This window comes from Homo sapiens, chromosome 1, assembly GCF_000001405.40.
Source record: "Homo sapiens chromosome 1, GRCh38.p14 Primary Assembly".
Taxonomy (NCBI): domain Eukaryota; kingdom Metazoa; phylum Chordata; class Mammalia; order Primates; family Hominidae; genus Homo; species Homo sapiens.
The window spans coordinates 184,220,627-184,238,926 of NC_000001.11; the positions used below are offsets into that span (position 1 = coordinate 184,220,627).

At 43.7% G+C, this 18,300-nt stretch overlaps 1 annotated feature.

Annotated features, from left to right (window-relative positions):
• Positions 2,807-3,340: an enhancer, noted in NCBI's record as "NANOG-H3K4me1 hESC enhancer chr1:184192567-184193100 (GRCh37/hg19 assembly coordinates)". NCBI's record gives its function as "activates a minimal SCP1, AML or CMV promoter by ChIP-STARR-seq in naive H9 embryonic stem cells {active_cell/tissue: H9 hESC(naive)}" and the evidence as "EXISTENCE:reporter gene assay evidence [ECO:0000049][PMID:30033119]".

The window sequence follows — 18,300 nt, forward strand, 5'->3', positions numbered from 1 at the left end:
CTACCTATTTTAAATTTATAAACTGGATTCTAATTAGCCTGCAGGGAGTTTCCATGGAAATTGGAGATATCACTTTGCAACAGTATAAGATCACAGCATCAAGTAGACGGGAAAAGTGGAAAATCTCTATTCTTTTAGGAATCAGCTGGAGTCACCTCGCTATGAAATTGTCCCTGACCCAGGCAGATTCCAGGTGTTCCCACTTCCATTACAGTATTTGTAGTATGTAATTGTCAGTGTACATATCTACATCCCGCAGACGGGGGAGACACTGTCATTGTTTCTGTTTTTCTCCAGAATATGGCTCAGTTCCTGATACAGAAGACACTTAAAAACAACAACAACAACAACAAAACTTGTTCGATTATTACAGTGATGTCTTAGAACATTGGTTTCTTCATCTATAAAATGGCATAATAATACTAATTCAGTTGGCTGTTCTGAGGATTAAATGCCAGAACAAATAAGTACTTACAACAATGCCCAGCTCCTAAATAATGTGTAGTTCCTATCCCCGCTTATCTTGTGTGAGAGGATTATTTTTGGTTTTGATAGGTATCAGGCAAAAAGGGTTTTTTAAAACAGCAAATAAATCAGAATATTCCACACTTGTAGTCTGCATTTTGTGTTGCCATTTGATTGGGTTTCTAGACTAGGCCAGCATTTTATATTCTGTAAGCATGGTAGAGGTTATATTATCTCCAGCCCCAAATCTTGGACATTAAACCTTTTCCTCATTGCTCACTCGGCTAGATATACATTATTAATAAATGAGATTTCTGAGATGTTTAGACTTGATTCTAAACATTCATGAAATAAACTTGGAGAATGAGTAACTATCATCAGTGATGATAAAAATGAGCTTGGGAAGATACCCTGTGTGTTGATTCTGATGAGAATTTTACCTTTATTGGACACCAGAATATTTCCAGGTATTCCCTGAAAACTCCCCTAGAGATGTCTTAACTCTTCTTTGATGGTTAATATTAAGTGTCAACTTGATTGGATTGAAGGATGCAAAGTATTGTTCCTGGGTGTGTCTGTGAGGGTGTTGCCAAAGGAGATTAACGTTTGAGTCGGTGGACTAGGAGAGACAGACCCACCCTCAATGTGGGTGGGCACCATCTAATCAGCTGCCAGCATGGCTAGAATGAAGCAGACTTGCTGAGTTTTCCGCCCATCTTCTTTCTCCCGTGCTGGATGCTTCCTGCTCTCAAACATCAAACTCAAGTTCTTCAGCTTTTGGACTCTTGGACTTACACCAGTGGTTTGCCAGGGACTCTCAGGCCTTCGGCCACAGACTGAAGGCTGCACTGTCAGCTTCCCTACCTTTGAGGTTTTGGGACTCAAATTGGCTTCTTTGCTCCTCAGCTTGCAGATGGCCTATTGTGGGACTTTACCTTGTGATCATGTAAGTCAATTCTCCTTAATAAACTTTCCTTTATATATACATCTATCCTATTAGTTCTGTCCCTCTAGAGAACCCTAATACACTTTATTTTTACAAAACAAGAAGTGCTTATAGAATGACTTTTCAAGGAGGTTTATGCGATCAAAACACACTACAGTGTGATGCTGGGTTTGCAGGGCGACCATGGAACTGTTGGGCAGAAACTCACATATAGAATAGCCTGCTACCAACCAAAGCCAGGTTTCATCTTTCCCACCAGCAGAATCCACCTCTTCCAAATCCACCCACATCATTGCATGGCCTGCAGGTAGGCTTTTCAGCTTCCTCTGATTGTCATACCAGGCACTGGGCCTATAAAAAGCAAAGCGGAGGCTGAGAGGAGGCAGAGGCAAACACTGAAGGTGTTTCAGAGGCCTATTCCCCCTGTGTATGGTGAGCACAGCACCTGGCAATGGATCGGGCTCTCCCACCCAAGCCCCATGCCCACTCTGGCCCCTTACCCCTCAGCCTTGGTGCCCTGGGTTCCCTAGTTCTTCTGTGGCCTCGACTCCCAACTGTGTGAAACCTGCATTGTCTTGGAGTCAGTGAGCTACTGCCTTCTCTATTTCCTGCTTTTAATTCCAGTTGACTCTTGACTTACAATCATGTATTCTTACTGGAATTGCCTCCCTGAAGGGCAGAAATTCCCTTTCTCCTGCTCTTTTGCCCCATCTGCCCTCTGCTGGCCATCGATAGGTACTGCGGTCAACCCTGAAAAGCCGTTTTTCCCAGTAGCATGTACCGAAGCTGTTTGCTCTTTCCTAATTCAGACGCTTTCTTTTTCTTCTTTTTAAAATTTTGGTTGCATTGCCTCAGAGTTTTTCAAAGCAACACGGAAACACCCTTTCTCTTTCCATGTCCCCAGTGACCATGTCATGGATCTGCCGTAAAGCATCTCTTACAGTAGTGGTCTCCAACCTTTTTGGCACCAGGGACCGGTTTCATGGAAGGCAATTTTTCCATGGACCAGCGGGGTGTGGGGATGGTTTCGGGATGATTCAAGCCCATTACATTTATCGTGTGCTTTATTTCTGTTGTTATCACATTGTAATATGTAATGAAATAATTATATAACTCACTGTAATGTAGAATCAGTGGGAGCCCCTGGCTTGTTTTCCTGCAACTAGAAGGTCCCATCTAGGGGTGGTAGGAGACAGTGACAGATTTCCAGGCATTAGATTCTCATAAAGAGCCTGCCATTAATCTACAGCATCAGTGTTACGCTGTAGAATGGTTCAGAATCTTAGCCACCGAGATCCCTCGCATGCGCAGTTCACAGTGTGGTTCATGCTCCTATGAGAGCCTAATGCTGCCGCTGATCTGACAGGAGGCGGAGCTCAGGTGGTGATGCTGGCTGGCCCACACTCACCTCCTGCTGTGCAGCCCGGTTCCTAACAGATACCAGTCCGTGGCCCTGGGGGTTAGGGACCCCCGTCTTACAGCATCCAGCGGGGCCAGGCACTTGGTTAAGTAGATCCTTGATGACTGAAACGTGACAATGCTGAAATGGCTGTGGAGTACTGTTTGGAGTTTGTGGGGGTGGGGTTTGTAAACTGGAGAACTTTATGTTAGAGTTTCTTATTATTGACATTTGAGGCTAAATAATTCTTTGTTGTCTGAGTCTCTCCTCCACGGTGTAGTATGTTTCGCAGCACCTCTGGCCTCTACCCTCCACGTGCCAGTAGCACCTTCCCCAAGTTTGTTGTCCTCACAGACAACCAAAAATGTCTTCTCTACTCACTCCCAAATGTCCTGGGGGGGCAAAATCACTCACTGCGGAGAACCATGGCATTAGGGTGATGGAGTAGAAAGCCTGCTCTACTCAGAAGGACTTCTAAGTGCCAGAAGGTGCAGGTCTGCTCTCTGGGGCCACTCAGTGCTTTGAAGGACACCTGATTTATTTTGGAGATGGACACTTAACTGCTGAATACACTGGCATGGGTGGGTGGTCCCATCGAGAGTTTTTCTCAAAGGTTTTCAATGACTCCTCTTGTGTTCTCTGGCCTATCCTACTCCAGCTCTCAATTCTGCTAGGCTTGAGTTCCAGCGTCAGAGCCTTTCTGAGCCTCTCTTCTCAGTCTTAGCCTCCCCTCCTTCCCTCTCTCTCCACCCACCTTCTGGCCGTCTGGGAAGCTTCAGCTTCATCCTGCTTCCCCAGCACTGCTCCTCCATCCACCTTTTTTTCTTCCATAGATTCGTTAAAAACATCTTGTCTGAAGGCAGTTCTCCCCTTTCTACATCACCATGGGTTTTTTTTGCAGAATTTTCTTCCATTACAATCACTGATTGTAATCAATTCTCTTTCCCCCAGGTCTCTGCCTCCTCTCTGTCAGGAAGGAGAGAGAGAAGTTAACCACACAGAACTGACCACCCTCTTTACCCAGAAGGAGCTGATCAGCCATCTTTAGGCAGAAGGCTTCCTCCAGCTGCACCCAGATTCCCCTTCTGTCTCCCACAGCACCCTGGGCTTACTTCTCCAGATCATGTAACACCCTGTGCTAAGATTGTTTATCTCTTGTCTGACTTCTTGAGTGGATCATAAGCTCTTTGAATGCAGGCATTGTGTCTTCTCACTCGCAACATCTCCAGTGTTGAGGACAGAAGTGCCCACAGTGCATAGGATATACTCAATAAAGGATTATCAAATGTCATGGAAATAAGGCCTTAATTTAAATTCAGTGGGAAGAGATTTTCTTGAACTTTAAGAAGACTTGGGGACAAAATTTGAACTTCTTGTATGTGTTTCTCCTCAAAGAGCATAGCTCTGCCTTAATTCTTCTGAATCTGACATCGAGCCTCTGGAGTTTACTAGACTCTTAGGCTGGGAAGCTCTTGGTCCATTTTTGATCCACTGCATTCTGCAGTGAGATGAAGCCCATTCCTCTGACATCCCACTTGGTGTGCCATGCTGATAAACCCATAACACTGATGCTGTAGATTAATGGCATGCCTTCACTTATGAACACTTTTTCCCCATGGTGACTAATGGCATTTTGATGGTGTCTCCTTAGACAGCTGCCTAAATATAAAGCAGTATGAGCTAAAAGAATAAATTGAAAATGTCAGTCGTTTTGTGTAATCCTTCCATAATATTATCTGGGAGCCCAGCCTAGCTTTATGGAAATCATTCAGTAGAATCAGACAAGATTTTTCCTACAGCACTTTTATGTTTGCAAAACCATCATCATTGTCAGCTTTAATTAATATTTATTTCTGTGTATCACACCTCATGTTAATAACTCTCCTCCAGGACTATTAACAAAATCCAGAACTGTTATTTTTCAATAGAGGAAGCGGAGGTATACACAGAGGTTTGACAGCTTGCTTAAGGCTACAGGATAAACTCAGAGTCAAGCTGAGACCAGGAGGCACAGATCTTCATCTCCCTGAGAAGGGCGGCTGCTCTAGGGTCAGCTTTGGGACATATGCCTCACCTTTGTGTGCCCATCAGACAAAGTGAGCCACCTGGTAGCTATGCCTGGACATGGTAAGAAGCACGCTTTTGAAATGAAGAGGGAGCCATCTCATTTTCCTGGCATATGTCACATCTCTTACTGAAGGGAGAGACCCATAGCTGCCTGTATTGTCCGTTGGGGCATGTCACGGTCTAGAGACATATGAAAGACAAAAAAGCTCACTTGTCATCTGCCTTTCAGTCTAGGAGAGACAGCCCGAGACTGCTGCCGTGGTGGCTGTGAGACGCTGTGTCACATATTAATTAGGAGGAGCATATGTAGCATTTCTAAGCCAGGGGCCATTTGTGGCGGCAGCAGCCACGCAGGAGGCAGGGAGTGCAGCTAGTAGCTAAATGGAGGGTTTAGGATGCAGGTTCTCGGCTCAGACACCGGGAATGAATCCGTTAAGAGAATGTTGCGGCCCTCCAGGCCCCGCTCCTCCTGCCTCGCAGGTGCAGTCACTTGCTGCCCTGGGTTCCCGCGCAACCAGAAGCTTCCTGGGCCCAGCGAAAGTTCTCATCCCCTGCTCTGTAGCCCTTGAGACGCGCGGGAGGGTTGGAAAAGCCGAGCCGATTGTGGGTGGCAGGCCTCCACAGAGATCGATTTGAAGGCAGAAGCTGAACTCATCATACCTCTTTAGAGAAGAAGTAGTAACGTGCCCTTTTCGCTCAACAAAAACCTGGGCAAGGCCAAGGGAAAGGATAGCATGCCCCATGCGGTGAGCAAGGGCGCGTGCGCAGAGTAGCCCGGCCCAACACTCACCTGGAAATGCGGCTGGGCCAGGGTACAAATCACAGTCTCTCTTCCATCCCCGCCCCTGCCACCCACTTCCCTCCTCCGACTTGGCTTTCTGCGAGTGCGCGTGAGGAGAGACTTATCCAAGGTCAGGGACAGAAGTCAGAAGATCCTGATGGTTGCCTGCTCCTTACTAACTGTGTAGCCTTTGGTAAGTTCCTTAATCATTTTGAACCTCTGAGTCCTCGTTAAAATGAGAATGAGAATACACATCTTACCTATGAGGCATGGTCCAGTGAACTATGAGTACTGTAGAGAGAAGCATGCTCCACAAATATGAATGATAATGGTGATTTTCATATTCAACTTTGTCAGGTATACCTTTAAAGTCACACACTGAAGTACTAAGATACAAAACCCTTAGCCAGGCATGGTGGCTCATGCCTGTAATCCCAGCACTTTGGGAGGCCAAGGTAGGAGGATCATTTGAGGCCAGGAGTTCAAGACCAGCCTGGGGAACATTGTGAGACCTTATCTCCACAAAAAAATGCAAACATTAACCAGGCATGGTAGCACACGCCTGTAGTCCCAGCTACTCGGAAGGCTAAGGTAGGAGGATCACTTGAGCCCGGAGGTCAAGAGGCTGCGGTGAGCCATGAGTGCACAACTGCACTCCAGCCTGGGTAACAGAGCAAGACTCTGTCGTAAAAAAAAAAAAAACAAAAACGAAAACAGAACCCATTAGGGACCCAAGGCATAAAGAGAGAGTTATGTGATGATACATAACTCTCATAATTTTGAGGATGTGCTGCCCTTCTTGTGTTACTGTGCCCAGTCAGGTGAAGGGACTGGGATGAGACAGCCCATCACCTCCACAGACCTTTCTTCTTTTTTTTTTGGCAGAGTTTCACTCTATCGCCCAGGCTGGAGTGCAGTGGTGCGATCTCAGCTCACCGCAACCTCTGCCTCCCGAGTTCAAGCGATTCTCCTGCCTCAGCCTCCCGAGTAGCTGGGACTACAGGAATGCGCCACCATGCCTGGCTAATTTTTTTGTATTTTTAGTAGAGATGGGGTTTCACAATGTTGGTCAGGCTGGTCTCGAACTCCTGACCTCAAATGATCTGCCTGCCTAGGCCTCCAAAAGGGCTGGGATTATAGGCATGAGCCACCGCACCTGGCCAGCCCTTTCTTAAGTACTGGTAGTGTTTTTACCACTGGGCTAGACATTGTAGAGGATACAAGAAGAGACTGAATACAATCTCTGCCCCTAGAGAATGAGCCATCTAGAAACAAACAAACAAAAAAAGAAGACAAGGGAAGGAAATAGAGCACTCTCTAGTCCAGTTGTTTTCAACCTTTTGGAAATGCCATGTCCTCTTGGGCAGCTGAAGGTCTAGAAAGTACAGTTTATATTGATCTGCCGTTCTGTTTCTCGAACACCACTCTGTTCTCTTCTCAGTGGAGATGAAGCACAACCACATGCTTCAGATTTCTTTTTAGATCAAGGGATCTCCCACCCTCTTGTTCAAAATTCTCTGTGTGGATGCTGCTTCTTTACATCTTGAAGTTGAATAGAACAAGTCCTTTTTCTTCCTTGGGCCCGTGGTCTGCATGCTGGTGACAGCCCATTGCTCTTGACTCTCCTCACCAGGCCCCTTAAGTCAATGTCCTGCAGCACAGGATGGGTACTTTCTCCGTTCTCCCTCGAAGGTGGCCTGGTAGTTCCCTGTCCGTTAAAAACTTTTGGCCCACAAAAATGCAGAAACCAGTTCAAGATTTACATAACAGTTCATGGCAACAGAATATTGATCACGAGGCAGTACATGATGAGTTGCCAAATGAACTGCATAGCCCTGTTGCTATAGGAGTGGAGCTTCCTCAGGTCCTCTCTGGAAGTAAGCAGATCATGCACTGCGAGCCAGCCGAAATGAACAAGCTGACAGAGGGGAAGGAGATCCAAGCAGACAGAGGGAATAGAGGGAATCTAAGGAATTTGTCTCTGAATGACCAACTGTACTATACAGGAAATATTGGGCCATCAAAGGATGTCATCACTTTAATAAGTCAAACATAGTTAAATATTGATCATTTCAACTTAAACATTTGAGGATTTGGTAAATATTTTTTATATTTACTTGAAAAGTTTATGTGGCTTTTTCTTTGGATTTGAAGATAAATCTAGAGCATAGTTTTGACATCTTATTTGGCCATTAGAACTGATAGCATCTTTCCTATGTACCTTAGACTCTAGAGAAATTGTCACATTTCAAACTCATAAACACTGTGAATTGGGTATTTTTAATTTTTATACAGAAAACAGAGGCTCAAAAAGGTGAATTTGCCCAAAGTTATGCAGCTGGTAACTGCATAACTCAAACCTCAGCAAATAGGTCAAACCTCAGCAAATAGGTCAGATTCCCTGTTTATAGTTGATATTCAAGAAATATTTATTGAATCAACCTAAGTGCACACATTCAAAGGCTCAGTCACTACATTTTCATGCAAAATATGTGTGATTCTCACTTATGTATACATATCACTCATGCATCTCATCCACCACTTTTTCCTTTCGTTTACCCAGTTACTGGATATCTCTGAACCTCGTTTTCTCTTCCATTAAACATATAATTGGTGAGCATGTACTATGGCCCCTTTTGATAGCTGTTTCTGCTTATCATGTCTTTATTCAATTTTTTTTTTATACTTTAAGTTTTAGGGTACATGTGCACAACGTGCAGGTTACATATGTATACATGTGCCATGTTGGTGTGCTGCACCCATTAACTCATCATTTAACATTAGGTATATCTCCTAATGCTATCCCTCCCCCCTCCCCCCACCCCACAACAGGCCCCAGTGTGTGATGTTCCCCTTCCTGTGTCCATGTGTTCTCATTGTTCAATTCCCACCTATGAGTGAGAACATGCGGTGTTTGGTTTTTTGTCCTTGAGATAGTTTGCTGAGAATGATGGTTTCCAGCTTCATCCATGTCCCTACAAGGACATGAACTCATCATTTTTTATGGCTGCATAGTATTCCATGGTGTATATGTGCCACATTTTCTTAATCCAGTCTATCATTGTTGGACATTTGGGTTGGTTGCAAGTCTTTGCTATTGTGAATAGTGCCACAATAAACATATGTGTGCATGTGTCTTTATAGCACCATGATTTATAATCCTTTGGGTATACACCCAGTAATGGGATGTCTGGGTCAAATGGTATTTCTAGTTCTAGATCCCTGAGGAATTGCCATACTGACTTCCACAATTGTTGAACTAGTTTATAGTCCCACCAACAGTGTAAAAGTGTTCCTGTTTCTCCACATCCTCTCCAGCACCTGTTGTTTCCTGACTTTTTAATGATCGTTATTCTAACTGCTGTGAGATGGTAGCTCACTGTGGTTTTGATTTGTATTTCTCTGATGGCCAGTGATGATGAGCATTTTTTCATGTGTCTTTTGGCTGCATAAATGTCTTCTTTAGAGAAGCGTCTGTTCATATCCTTCGCCCACTTGTTGATGGGGTTGTTTGTTTTTTTTCTTGTAAATTTGTTTGAGTTCTTTGTAGATTCTGGATATTAACCCTTTGTCAGATGAGTAGATTGCAAAAATTTTCTCCCATTCTGTACGTTGCCTGTTCACTCTGATGGTAGTTTCTTTTGCTGTACAGAAGCTCTTTAGTTTAATTAGATCCCATTTGTCAATTTTGGCTTTTGTTGCCATTGCTTTTGGTGTTTTAGACAGGAAGTCCTTGCCCATGCCTATGTCCCGAATGGTATTGCCTAGGTTTTCTTCTAGGGTTTTTGTGGTTTTAGGTCTAACATTTAAGTCTTTAATCCATCTTCAATTAATTTTTGTATAAGGTGTAAGGAAGGGATCCAATTTCAGCTTTCTACATATGGCTAGCCAGTTTTCCCAGCACCATTTATTAAATAGGGAATCCTTTCCCCATTTCTTGTTTTTGTCAGGTTTGTCAAAGTTGTAGATATGTGGCATTATTTCTGAGGGCTCTGTTCTGTTCCATTGGTCTATATCTCTGTTTTGGTACCAGTACCATGCTATTTTGGTTACTGTAGCCTTGTAGTATAGTTTGAAGTCAGGTAGCATGATGCCTCCAGCTTTGTTCTTTTGGCTTAGGATTGACTTGGCGATGTGGGCCTTTTTTGGTTCCATATGAATTTTAAAGTAGTTTTTTTCCAATTCTGTGAAGAAAGTCATTGGTAGCTTGATGGGGGTGGCATTGAATCTATAACTTACCTTGGGCAGTATGACCATTTTCACAATATTGATTCTTCCTACCCATGAGCATGGAATGTTCTTCCATTTGTTTGTGTCCTCTTTTATTTCATTGAGCAGTGGTTTGTAGTTCTCCTTGAAGAGGTCCTTCACGTTCCTTTTAAGTTGGATTCCTAGGTATTTTATTCTCTTTGAAACAATTGTGAATGGTAGTTCACTCATGATTTGGCTCTCTGTTTGTCTGTTATTGGTGTATAGGAGTGCTTGTGATTTTTGCACATTGATTTTGTATCCTGAGACTTTGCTGAAGTTGCTTATCAGCTTAAGGAGATTTTGGGCTGAGACCATGGGGTTTTCTAGATATACAATCATGTCATCTGCAAACAGAGACAATTTGACTTCCTCTTTTCCTAATTGAATACCCTGTATTTCCTTCTCCTGCCTGATTGCCCTGACCAGAACTTCCAACGCTATGTTGAATAGGAGTGGTGAGAGAGGGCATCCCTGTCTTGTGCCAGTTTTCGAAGGGAATGCTTCCAGTTTTTGCCCATTCAGTATGATATTGGCTGTGGGTTTGTCATAGATAGCTCTTATTATTTTGAGATATGTCCCATCAATACCTAATTAATTGAGAGTTTTTAGCATGAAGGGTTGTTGAATTTTGTCAAATGCCTTTTCTGCATCTATTGATATAATCATGTGGTTTTTGTCGTTGGTTCTGTTTATATGCTGGATTACATTTATTGATTTGCATATGTTGAACCAGCCTTGCATCCCAGGGATGAAGCCCACTTGATCATGGTGGATAAGCTTTTTGATATGCTGCTGGATTCGGTTTCCAGTATTTTATTGAGGATTTTTGCGTCAATGTTCATCCGGGATATTGGTCTAAAATTCTCTTTTTTTGTTGTGTCTCTGCCAGGCTTTGGTATCAGGATGATGCTGGCCTCATAAAGTGAGTTAGAGAGGATTCCCTCTTTTTTTTTTTTTTTTTTTTTGAGACTGAGTCTCGCTCTGTCACCCAGGCTGGAGTGCAGTGGCACAGTCTTGGCTCACTGCAAGCTCCGCCTCCCGGGTTCATGCCATTCTCCTGCCTCAGCCTCCCGATTAGCTGGGACTACAGGCACCTGCCACCACACCTGCCTAATTTTTTGTATTTTTAGTAGAGATGGGGTTTCACTGTGTTAGCCAGGATGGTGTCTATCTCCTGACCTTGTGATCTGCCCACCTTCGCCTCCCAAAGTGCTGGGATTACAGGCGTGAGCCACCACGCCCAGCAGATTCCCTCTTTTTCTTTTGACTGGAATAATTTCAGAAGGAATGGTACCAGCTCCTCCTTGTACCTCTGGTAGAATTTGGCTGTGAATCCGTCTGGTCCTGGAGTTTTTTTGGTTGGTAAGCTATTAATTATTGCCTCAATTTCAGAGCCTGTTATTGGTCTATTCAGAGATTCAACTTCTTCCTGGTTTAGTCTTGGGAATGTGTATGTGTTGAGGAATTTATCCATTTCTTCTAGATTTTCTAGTTTATTTGCGTAGAGGTGTCTATAGTATTCTCTGATGGTAGTTTGTATTTCTATGGGATCAGTGATGATATCCCCTTTATCATTTTTTATTGTGTCTATTTGATTCTTCTCTCTTTTCTTCTGTATTAGTCTTGCTAGTGGTCTATCAATTTTGTTGATCTTTTCAAAAAATCAGCTCCTGGATTCATGGACTTTTTGAAGGGTTTTTTATGTGTCTATTTCCTTCAGTTCTGCTCTGATCTTAGTTATTTCTTGCCTTCTGCTAGCTTTTGAATGTATTTGCTCTTGCTTCTCTAGTTCTTTTAATTGTGATGTTAGGGTGTCAATTTTAGATCTTTCCTGCTTTCTCTTGTTGGCATTTAGTGCTATAAATTTCCCTCTACACACTGCTTTAAATGTGTCCCAGAGATTCAGGTATGTTGTGTTTTTGTTCTCATTGGTTTCAAAGAACATCTTTATTTCTGCCTTCATTTCGTTATTACCCAGTAGTCATTCAGGAGCAGGTTGTTCAGTTTCCATGTAGTTGAGCGGTTTTAAGTGAGTTTCTTAATCCTGAGTTCTAGTTTGATTGCACTGTGGTCTGAGAGACAGTTTGTTATAATTTCTGTTCTTTTACATTTGCTGAGGAGTGCTTTACTTCCAACTATGTGGTCAGTTTTGGAATAGGTGTGGTGTGGTGCTGAAAAGAATGTATATTCTGTTGATTTGGGGTAGAGAGTTCTGTAGATGTCAATTAGGTCCACTTGGCGCAGAGCTGAGTTCAATTCCTGGGTATCCTTGTTAACTTTCTGTCTCGTTGATCTGTCTAATGTTGACAGTGGGGTGTTAAAGTCTCCCATTATTATTGTGTGGGAGTCTAAGTCTCTTTGTAGGTCTCTAAGGACTTGCTTTATGAATCTGGGTGCTCCTGTATTGGGTGCATATATATTTAGGATAGTTAGCTCTTCTTGTTGCATTGATCCCTTTACCATTATGTAATGGCCTTCTTTGTCTCTTTTGATCTTTGTTGGTTTGAAGTCTGTTTTATGAGAGACTAAGATTGCAACACCTGCCTTTTCTTGTGTTCCATTTGCTTGGTAGATCTTTCTCCATCCCTTTATTTTGAGCATATGTGTGTCTCTGCACATGAGATGGGTTTCCTGAATACAGCACACTGATGAGTCTTGACTCTTTATCCAATTTGCCAGTCTGTGTCTTTTAATTGGAGCATTTAGCCCATTTACATTTAAGGTTAATATTGTTATGTGTGAATTTGATGCTGTCATTATGATGTTAGCTGGTTATTTTGCTCATTAGTTGATGCACTTTCTTCCTAGCCTTGATGGTCTTTACCATTTGGCATATTTTTTGCAGTGGCTGGTACTGGTTGTTCCTTTCCATGTTTAGTGCTTCCTTCAGGAGCTCTTTTAGGGAAGGCCTGGTGGTGACAAAATCTCTCAGCATTTGCTTGTCTGTAAAGTATTTTATTTCTCCTTCACTTACGAAGCTTAGTTTGGCTGGATATGAACTTCTGGGTTGAAAATTCTTGCCTTTAAGAATGTTGAATATTGGCCCCCCACTCTCTTCTGGCTTGTAGAGTTTCTGCCGAGAGATCAGCTGTTAGTCTGATGAGCATCCCTTTTTGGGTAACCCGACCTTTCTCTCTGGCTGCCCTTAACATTTTTTCCTTCATTTCAACTTTGGTGAATCTGACAATTATGTGTCTCGGAGTTGCTCTTCTCGAGGAGTATCTTTGTGGCATTCTCTGTATTTCCTGAATTTGAATGTTGGCCTGCCTTGCTAGATTGGGGAAGTTCTCCTGGATAATATCCTGCAGAGTGTTTTCCAACTTGGTTTCATTCTCCCCCTCACTTTCAGGTACACCAATCAGATGTAGATTTGGTCTTTTCACATAGTCCCATATTTCTCGGAGGCTTCGTTCATTTCTTTTTATTCTTTTTTCTCTAAACTTCTCTTCTCACTTCATTTCATTCATTTGATCTTCCATCACTGATACCCTTTCTTCCAATTGATCGAATCGGCTACTGAGGCTTGTGCATTCGTCACGTAGTTCTCGTGCCTTGGTTTTCAGCTCCATCAGGTCCTTTAAGGACTTCTCTGCACTGGTTATTCTAGTTAGCCATTCATCTAATCTTTTTTCAAGGTTTTTAACTTCTTTGCCATGGGTTTGAACTTCCTCCTTTAGCTCGGAGAAGTTTGATCAACTGAAGCCTTCTTCTCTCAACTCGTCAAAGTCATTCTCTGTCCAGCTTTGTTCAGTTGCTGGTGAGGAGCTGCATTCCTTTGGAGGAGGAGAGGCGCTCTGATTTTTAGAATTTTCAGTTTTTCTCCTCTGTTTTTTCCCCATCTTTGTGGTTTTATCTACCTTTGGTCTTTGGTGATGGTGACGTACAGATGGGGTTTTGGTGTGGATGTCCTTTCTGTTTGTTAGGTTTCCTTCTAACAGTCAGGACCCTCAGCTGCAGGTCCGTTGGAGTTTGCCAGAGGTCCACTCCAGACCCTGTTTGCCTGGGTATCAGCAGCGGAGGCTGCAGAACAGTGAATTTTGGTGAACAGCAAATGGTACTGCCTGATCGTTCCTCTGGAAGTTTTGTCTCAGAGGAGTACCCAGCCGTGTGAGGTGTCAGTCTGCCCCTACTGGTGGGGTGCCTCCCAGTTAGGCTACTCGGGGGTCGGGGACCCACTTGAGGAGGCAGTCTGTCTGTTCTCAGATCTCAAGCTGCGTGGTGGGAGAACCACTACTCTCTTCAAAGCTGTCAGACAGGGACATTTACATCTGCAGAGGTTTCTGCTGCCTTTTGTTTGGCTATGCCCTTCCCCCAGAGGTGGAGTCTACCGAGGCAGGCTGGCCTCCTTGAGCTGCGGTGGGCTCCACCCAGTTAGAGCTTCCTGGCTGCTTTGTTTACCTACTCAAGCCTCAGCAATGGCGGGCACCCCTCCCCCAGCCTTGCTGCCACCTTGCAGTTTGATCCCAGACTGCTGTGCTAGCAATGAGCGAGGCTCCATGGGCGTAATACCCTCTGAGCCATGTGCAGGATATAATCTCCTGGTGTGCCATTTGCTAAGACCGTCGGAAAAGCACAGTATTAGGGTGGGAGTGACCTGATTTTCCAGGTGCTGTCTGTCACCCCTTTCCTTGGCTAGGAAAGGGAATTCCCTAACCCCTTGCACTTCCCGGGTGAGGCAATGCCTCACCCTGCTTCGGCTCATGCTTGATGTGCTGCACCCACTGTCCGACAATCCCCAGTGAGATGAACCCAGTACCTCAGTTGGAAATGCAGAAATCATTCGTCTTCTGCATTGCTCACGCTGGGAGCTGTAGACTTGAGCTGTTCCTATTCGGCTATCTTGGCTAGCTCCCTATTCAATTTTTTTTAAAGTATGTGTATATGTTTATATTACACACACATACTCAACACTTATTGTGTGCCTGCCTCTGCACCCTGAAGCAATGAATGAATGATGTTTTCCGCTTTCTATGAGCTCAGAGCTAAGCAGAGGAAATAAACTGTAAACCTAAGCAAGACCCTGCCCAATGTTATGGACTGAAGCAAAATAATAGAGGAATATATGAGGTATGTAAAGTAAGATATTGGGAGAAAGTATTCAATTAAGAGAAGCTCACAGAGAGCTCACAGATAGCTCACAGTGAGCTAAGCTGGGCAGCCCTATAACCCCAGGATACAATTCCAGGCATGTAGCAGGCATTCAATACCTTTTTTCTAAACAGAATCACATTGATTAAACTGAAAATTTCAGAAGGATAAAGAAGAGTTTTCAAGGTAGGTAAGGATCAGGAAAATCTTCCAAGCCAACAAAATTTAAAAAATCACAGAAGTATGAAACACTATGGTAGGCTGAGGACCTCAGGAAGCTTAGTATGATGATGGCATTAATTTGGAGAGGAACATGACATGAGATGTGGCTGGAGAGTTTATACATCTCAATGGATTTTTTTCTCTGCTGGGCAGTGGGGAGGCCTGAAGGAGCCTAAATAGAAGAGCACAGAATCAGATTTGTAGGATGTGTAGTTGGCAGATAAGACCTAGCAAAAGAGGTGGAAGGAGATGAATGTGCTGAATGAGACCACTCCATGCCAATCCAGGGCAAGGAGCAGGATCAGAGTAGGGTTGCAAGGGGCAGAAATGCAGGCCATGCAGTGGACTAGGAAGGGGAGATGTCCTTCCAGGACCACCAGCCTGACCTGCTGTGTGTGGGGACTGCTCTTTCTTTTTTTTTTTTTTGAGGCAGAGTCTTGCCCTGTTGCCCAGGCTGGAGTGCAGTGGTGCGATCTCGGCTCACTGCAACCTCCACCTCCCAGATTCAAACAATTCTCCTGCCTCAGCCTCCCGACTAGTTGGGATTACAGGCACATGCCACCCATGCCCAGCTAATTTTTTTTTGTATTTTTAGTAGAGATGGGGTTTCACCATGTTGGCCAGGCTGGTCTTGAACTCCTGACCTCGTGATCCACCCACCTCGGCCTCCCAAAGTGCTGTGATTACAGATGTGAGCCACTGCACCCAGCCTGCTCTTTATTTCTTTAGGACTGCTCTTTATTTCTTTTTTCAGTTATTTAAATTTATATCCCACTTTCTAAATTTGAGATGGTTTTTTCTTTTTTTCTTTTTCTTTTTTTTTTTGAGGCAGAGTCTCACTCTGTCACCCAGGCTGGAGTGCAGTGGCATGATCTCGGCTCACTGCAAGCTCCGCCTCCCGGGTTCACGCCATTCTCCTGCCTCAGACTCCGGAGTAGCTGGTACTACAGGCGCCCACAACCACGCCCAGCTAATTTTTTGTATTTTTAGTAGAGATGGGGTTTCATCGTGTTAGCCAGGATGATCCGCCTGCCTCGGCCTCCCAAAGTGCTGAGATTACAGGCGTGAGCCACTGCGCCCAGCGAGATGGTTTTCAATAGAAGAAATATGTATAATGAATTTATTAAAATAGAAATAGATTATTTTAAAAAAATAGAGAAAGAAATCAATAGTTTAAAACCATACACTAAGCCAGTATCACTACTATTAACGAGCATTAAGTTTGGTTTAAGCTTTTAAGCTGCCAAAGAAAAAAACATATAGCACAGAGTTATTTAGTCCTCATTATTTTTTGAGAGAGACAACTTTTTTCCTGGTACTAAATTCTGTAAGGAATTTCCAAAGTTGGGCCCTATTAAAGGTGCTAACATCAACACTCTATCCCCATCGTTTCATTCTGAGCTGTCCTCGAATGTCTCCTCTGAGATTTCTTGCCTGGCTGCCATTTCTACAACAGCACTCATTCTCAAGAGCTCAAGGAAATGTGAGCCCTGATTCCACACTTCCCTGTACCCACTTTCTCTGGATTACCTTTTAAGATGATATGCTCAGTTCTAGTCAGAAACGGGTATAAGCAATAGCACATGGAGAATCTTTCCACATTTTTGGAAAAACTGATGTTGAAGACATTGTCCATTGTTTAGCAAATACTGAAGACCCACACTGAGCAGAATACTGTTTCAAGAAAAGATCATACAGCAGGGATCCCAATAGATAAAGTTCTGGCCCTTGTAATCCTATATTTTTGTGGGAGGACAGGCAATACGTAAATAAATATATGAGGCAGTGTTAGGTGCTGGGAAGAAAAATAAAGCAGGGTAAAGGGTCCTCTTTCAGATGGCGTGCTCAGGACGCCTCCTTTCCATAGCTCAACTTTCATCTCACACCTTTTTATCTGGCTACATCACCTTTTCCTTAGCAACAGAACAGAGAACAAACATTACAGAACCAAATACCTTCACCAAGTTGACCACTAAGGATGGCAGGAAAATGTTCTGCTACTATTTGAGGCCAGAGGCTTATGCCAAATTGTTCATCACAAAAATAAGTCTGCTCAGCCAGGTCATTTCAATGGTAAATCTAATTCGAAATTAAGCTACTGAATCCAAGGTCTTTCTGAATTCCCTTTCAGGGTTCCAGAATAATATATTTGATTGTTTGAGGCAGGGTCTCACTCTGTTGCCCAGGAGTTGAGGGCATGATCTCAGCTCACTGCAACCTCCGCCTCCTAGGTTCAAGCAATTCTTCTGCCTCAGCCTCTGAGTAAGTTCTGCAGTAGCCCAGCTAATTTTTTTTTAATTGTATTTTTAGTAGAGACAGGGTTTCACCATGTTGGCCAGGCTGGTCTCAAACTCCTGACCTCAAGTGATCCACCTGCCTCAGCCTCCCAACGTGCTGGGATTACAGGCATGAGCCACCACGCCTGGCCTTATCCAGCTTTTATACGGGCCATGCCCTCAACATTTATTAGCTCACTGAATGAGATTCCTAGTAGCCACACGCTACAGACTGAATTGTGTCCCTTCCAAATTCGTATGTCGAAGCCCTAACGCCCATTGTGATGGCATTTGGAAATGGGGCCTTTGGGAGTAATTAGGTTTAGATGAAGTCATGATGGGGTTGAGGGGTATTTCTCATGATGAGAATACTGTCCTTATAAAAGGAGATACCAGAGAGCTTGTGCACATGCCCTCTTTGTTTTCACCATGTGAGAATACAGCAAGAAGGCAGCAGTGTGCAAGCCAGCAAGAGAGCCCTCACTAGAACCCAGTGATGCTGGCATCTTGATTTTGGATTTCTAGCCTCCAGAACTGTAAGAAAATAAATTTCTGTTGTTTAAGTCACATAGTCTATGGTATTTTGTTATGGCAGCTCAAGCAGACTTGTTATGGACACCACACAAGAAAAGAGGCAGTAGAGCATATGGTTACAAAGCTGGGCTCTGGAGTCTGACTGCCTGGGTCTATATCCTGACCCCAAGAATTCCTCTCTGGGTGATCTTGGGCAAGTTATTTTACCTCTCTGCGAGTGATCTCCTTGTCTGCAAAGTGAGAATAATAATAGTAAATATCTTGCAATGTT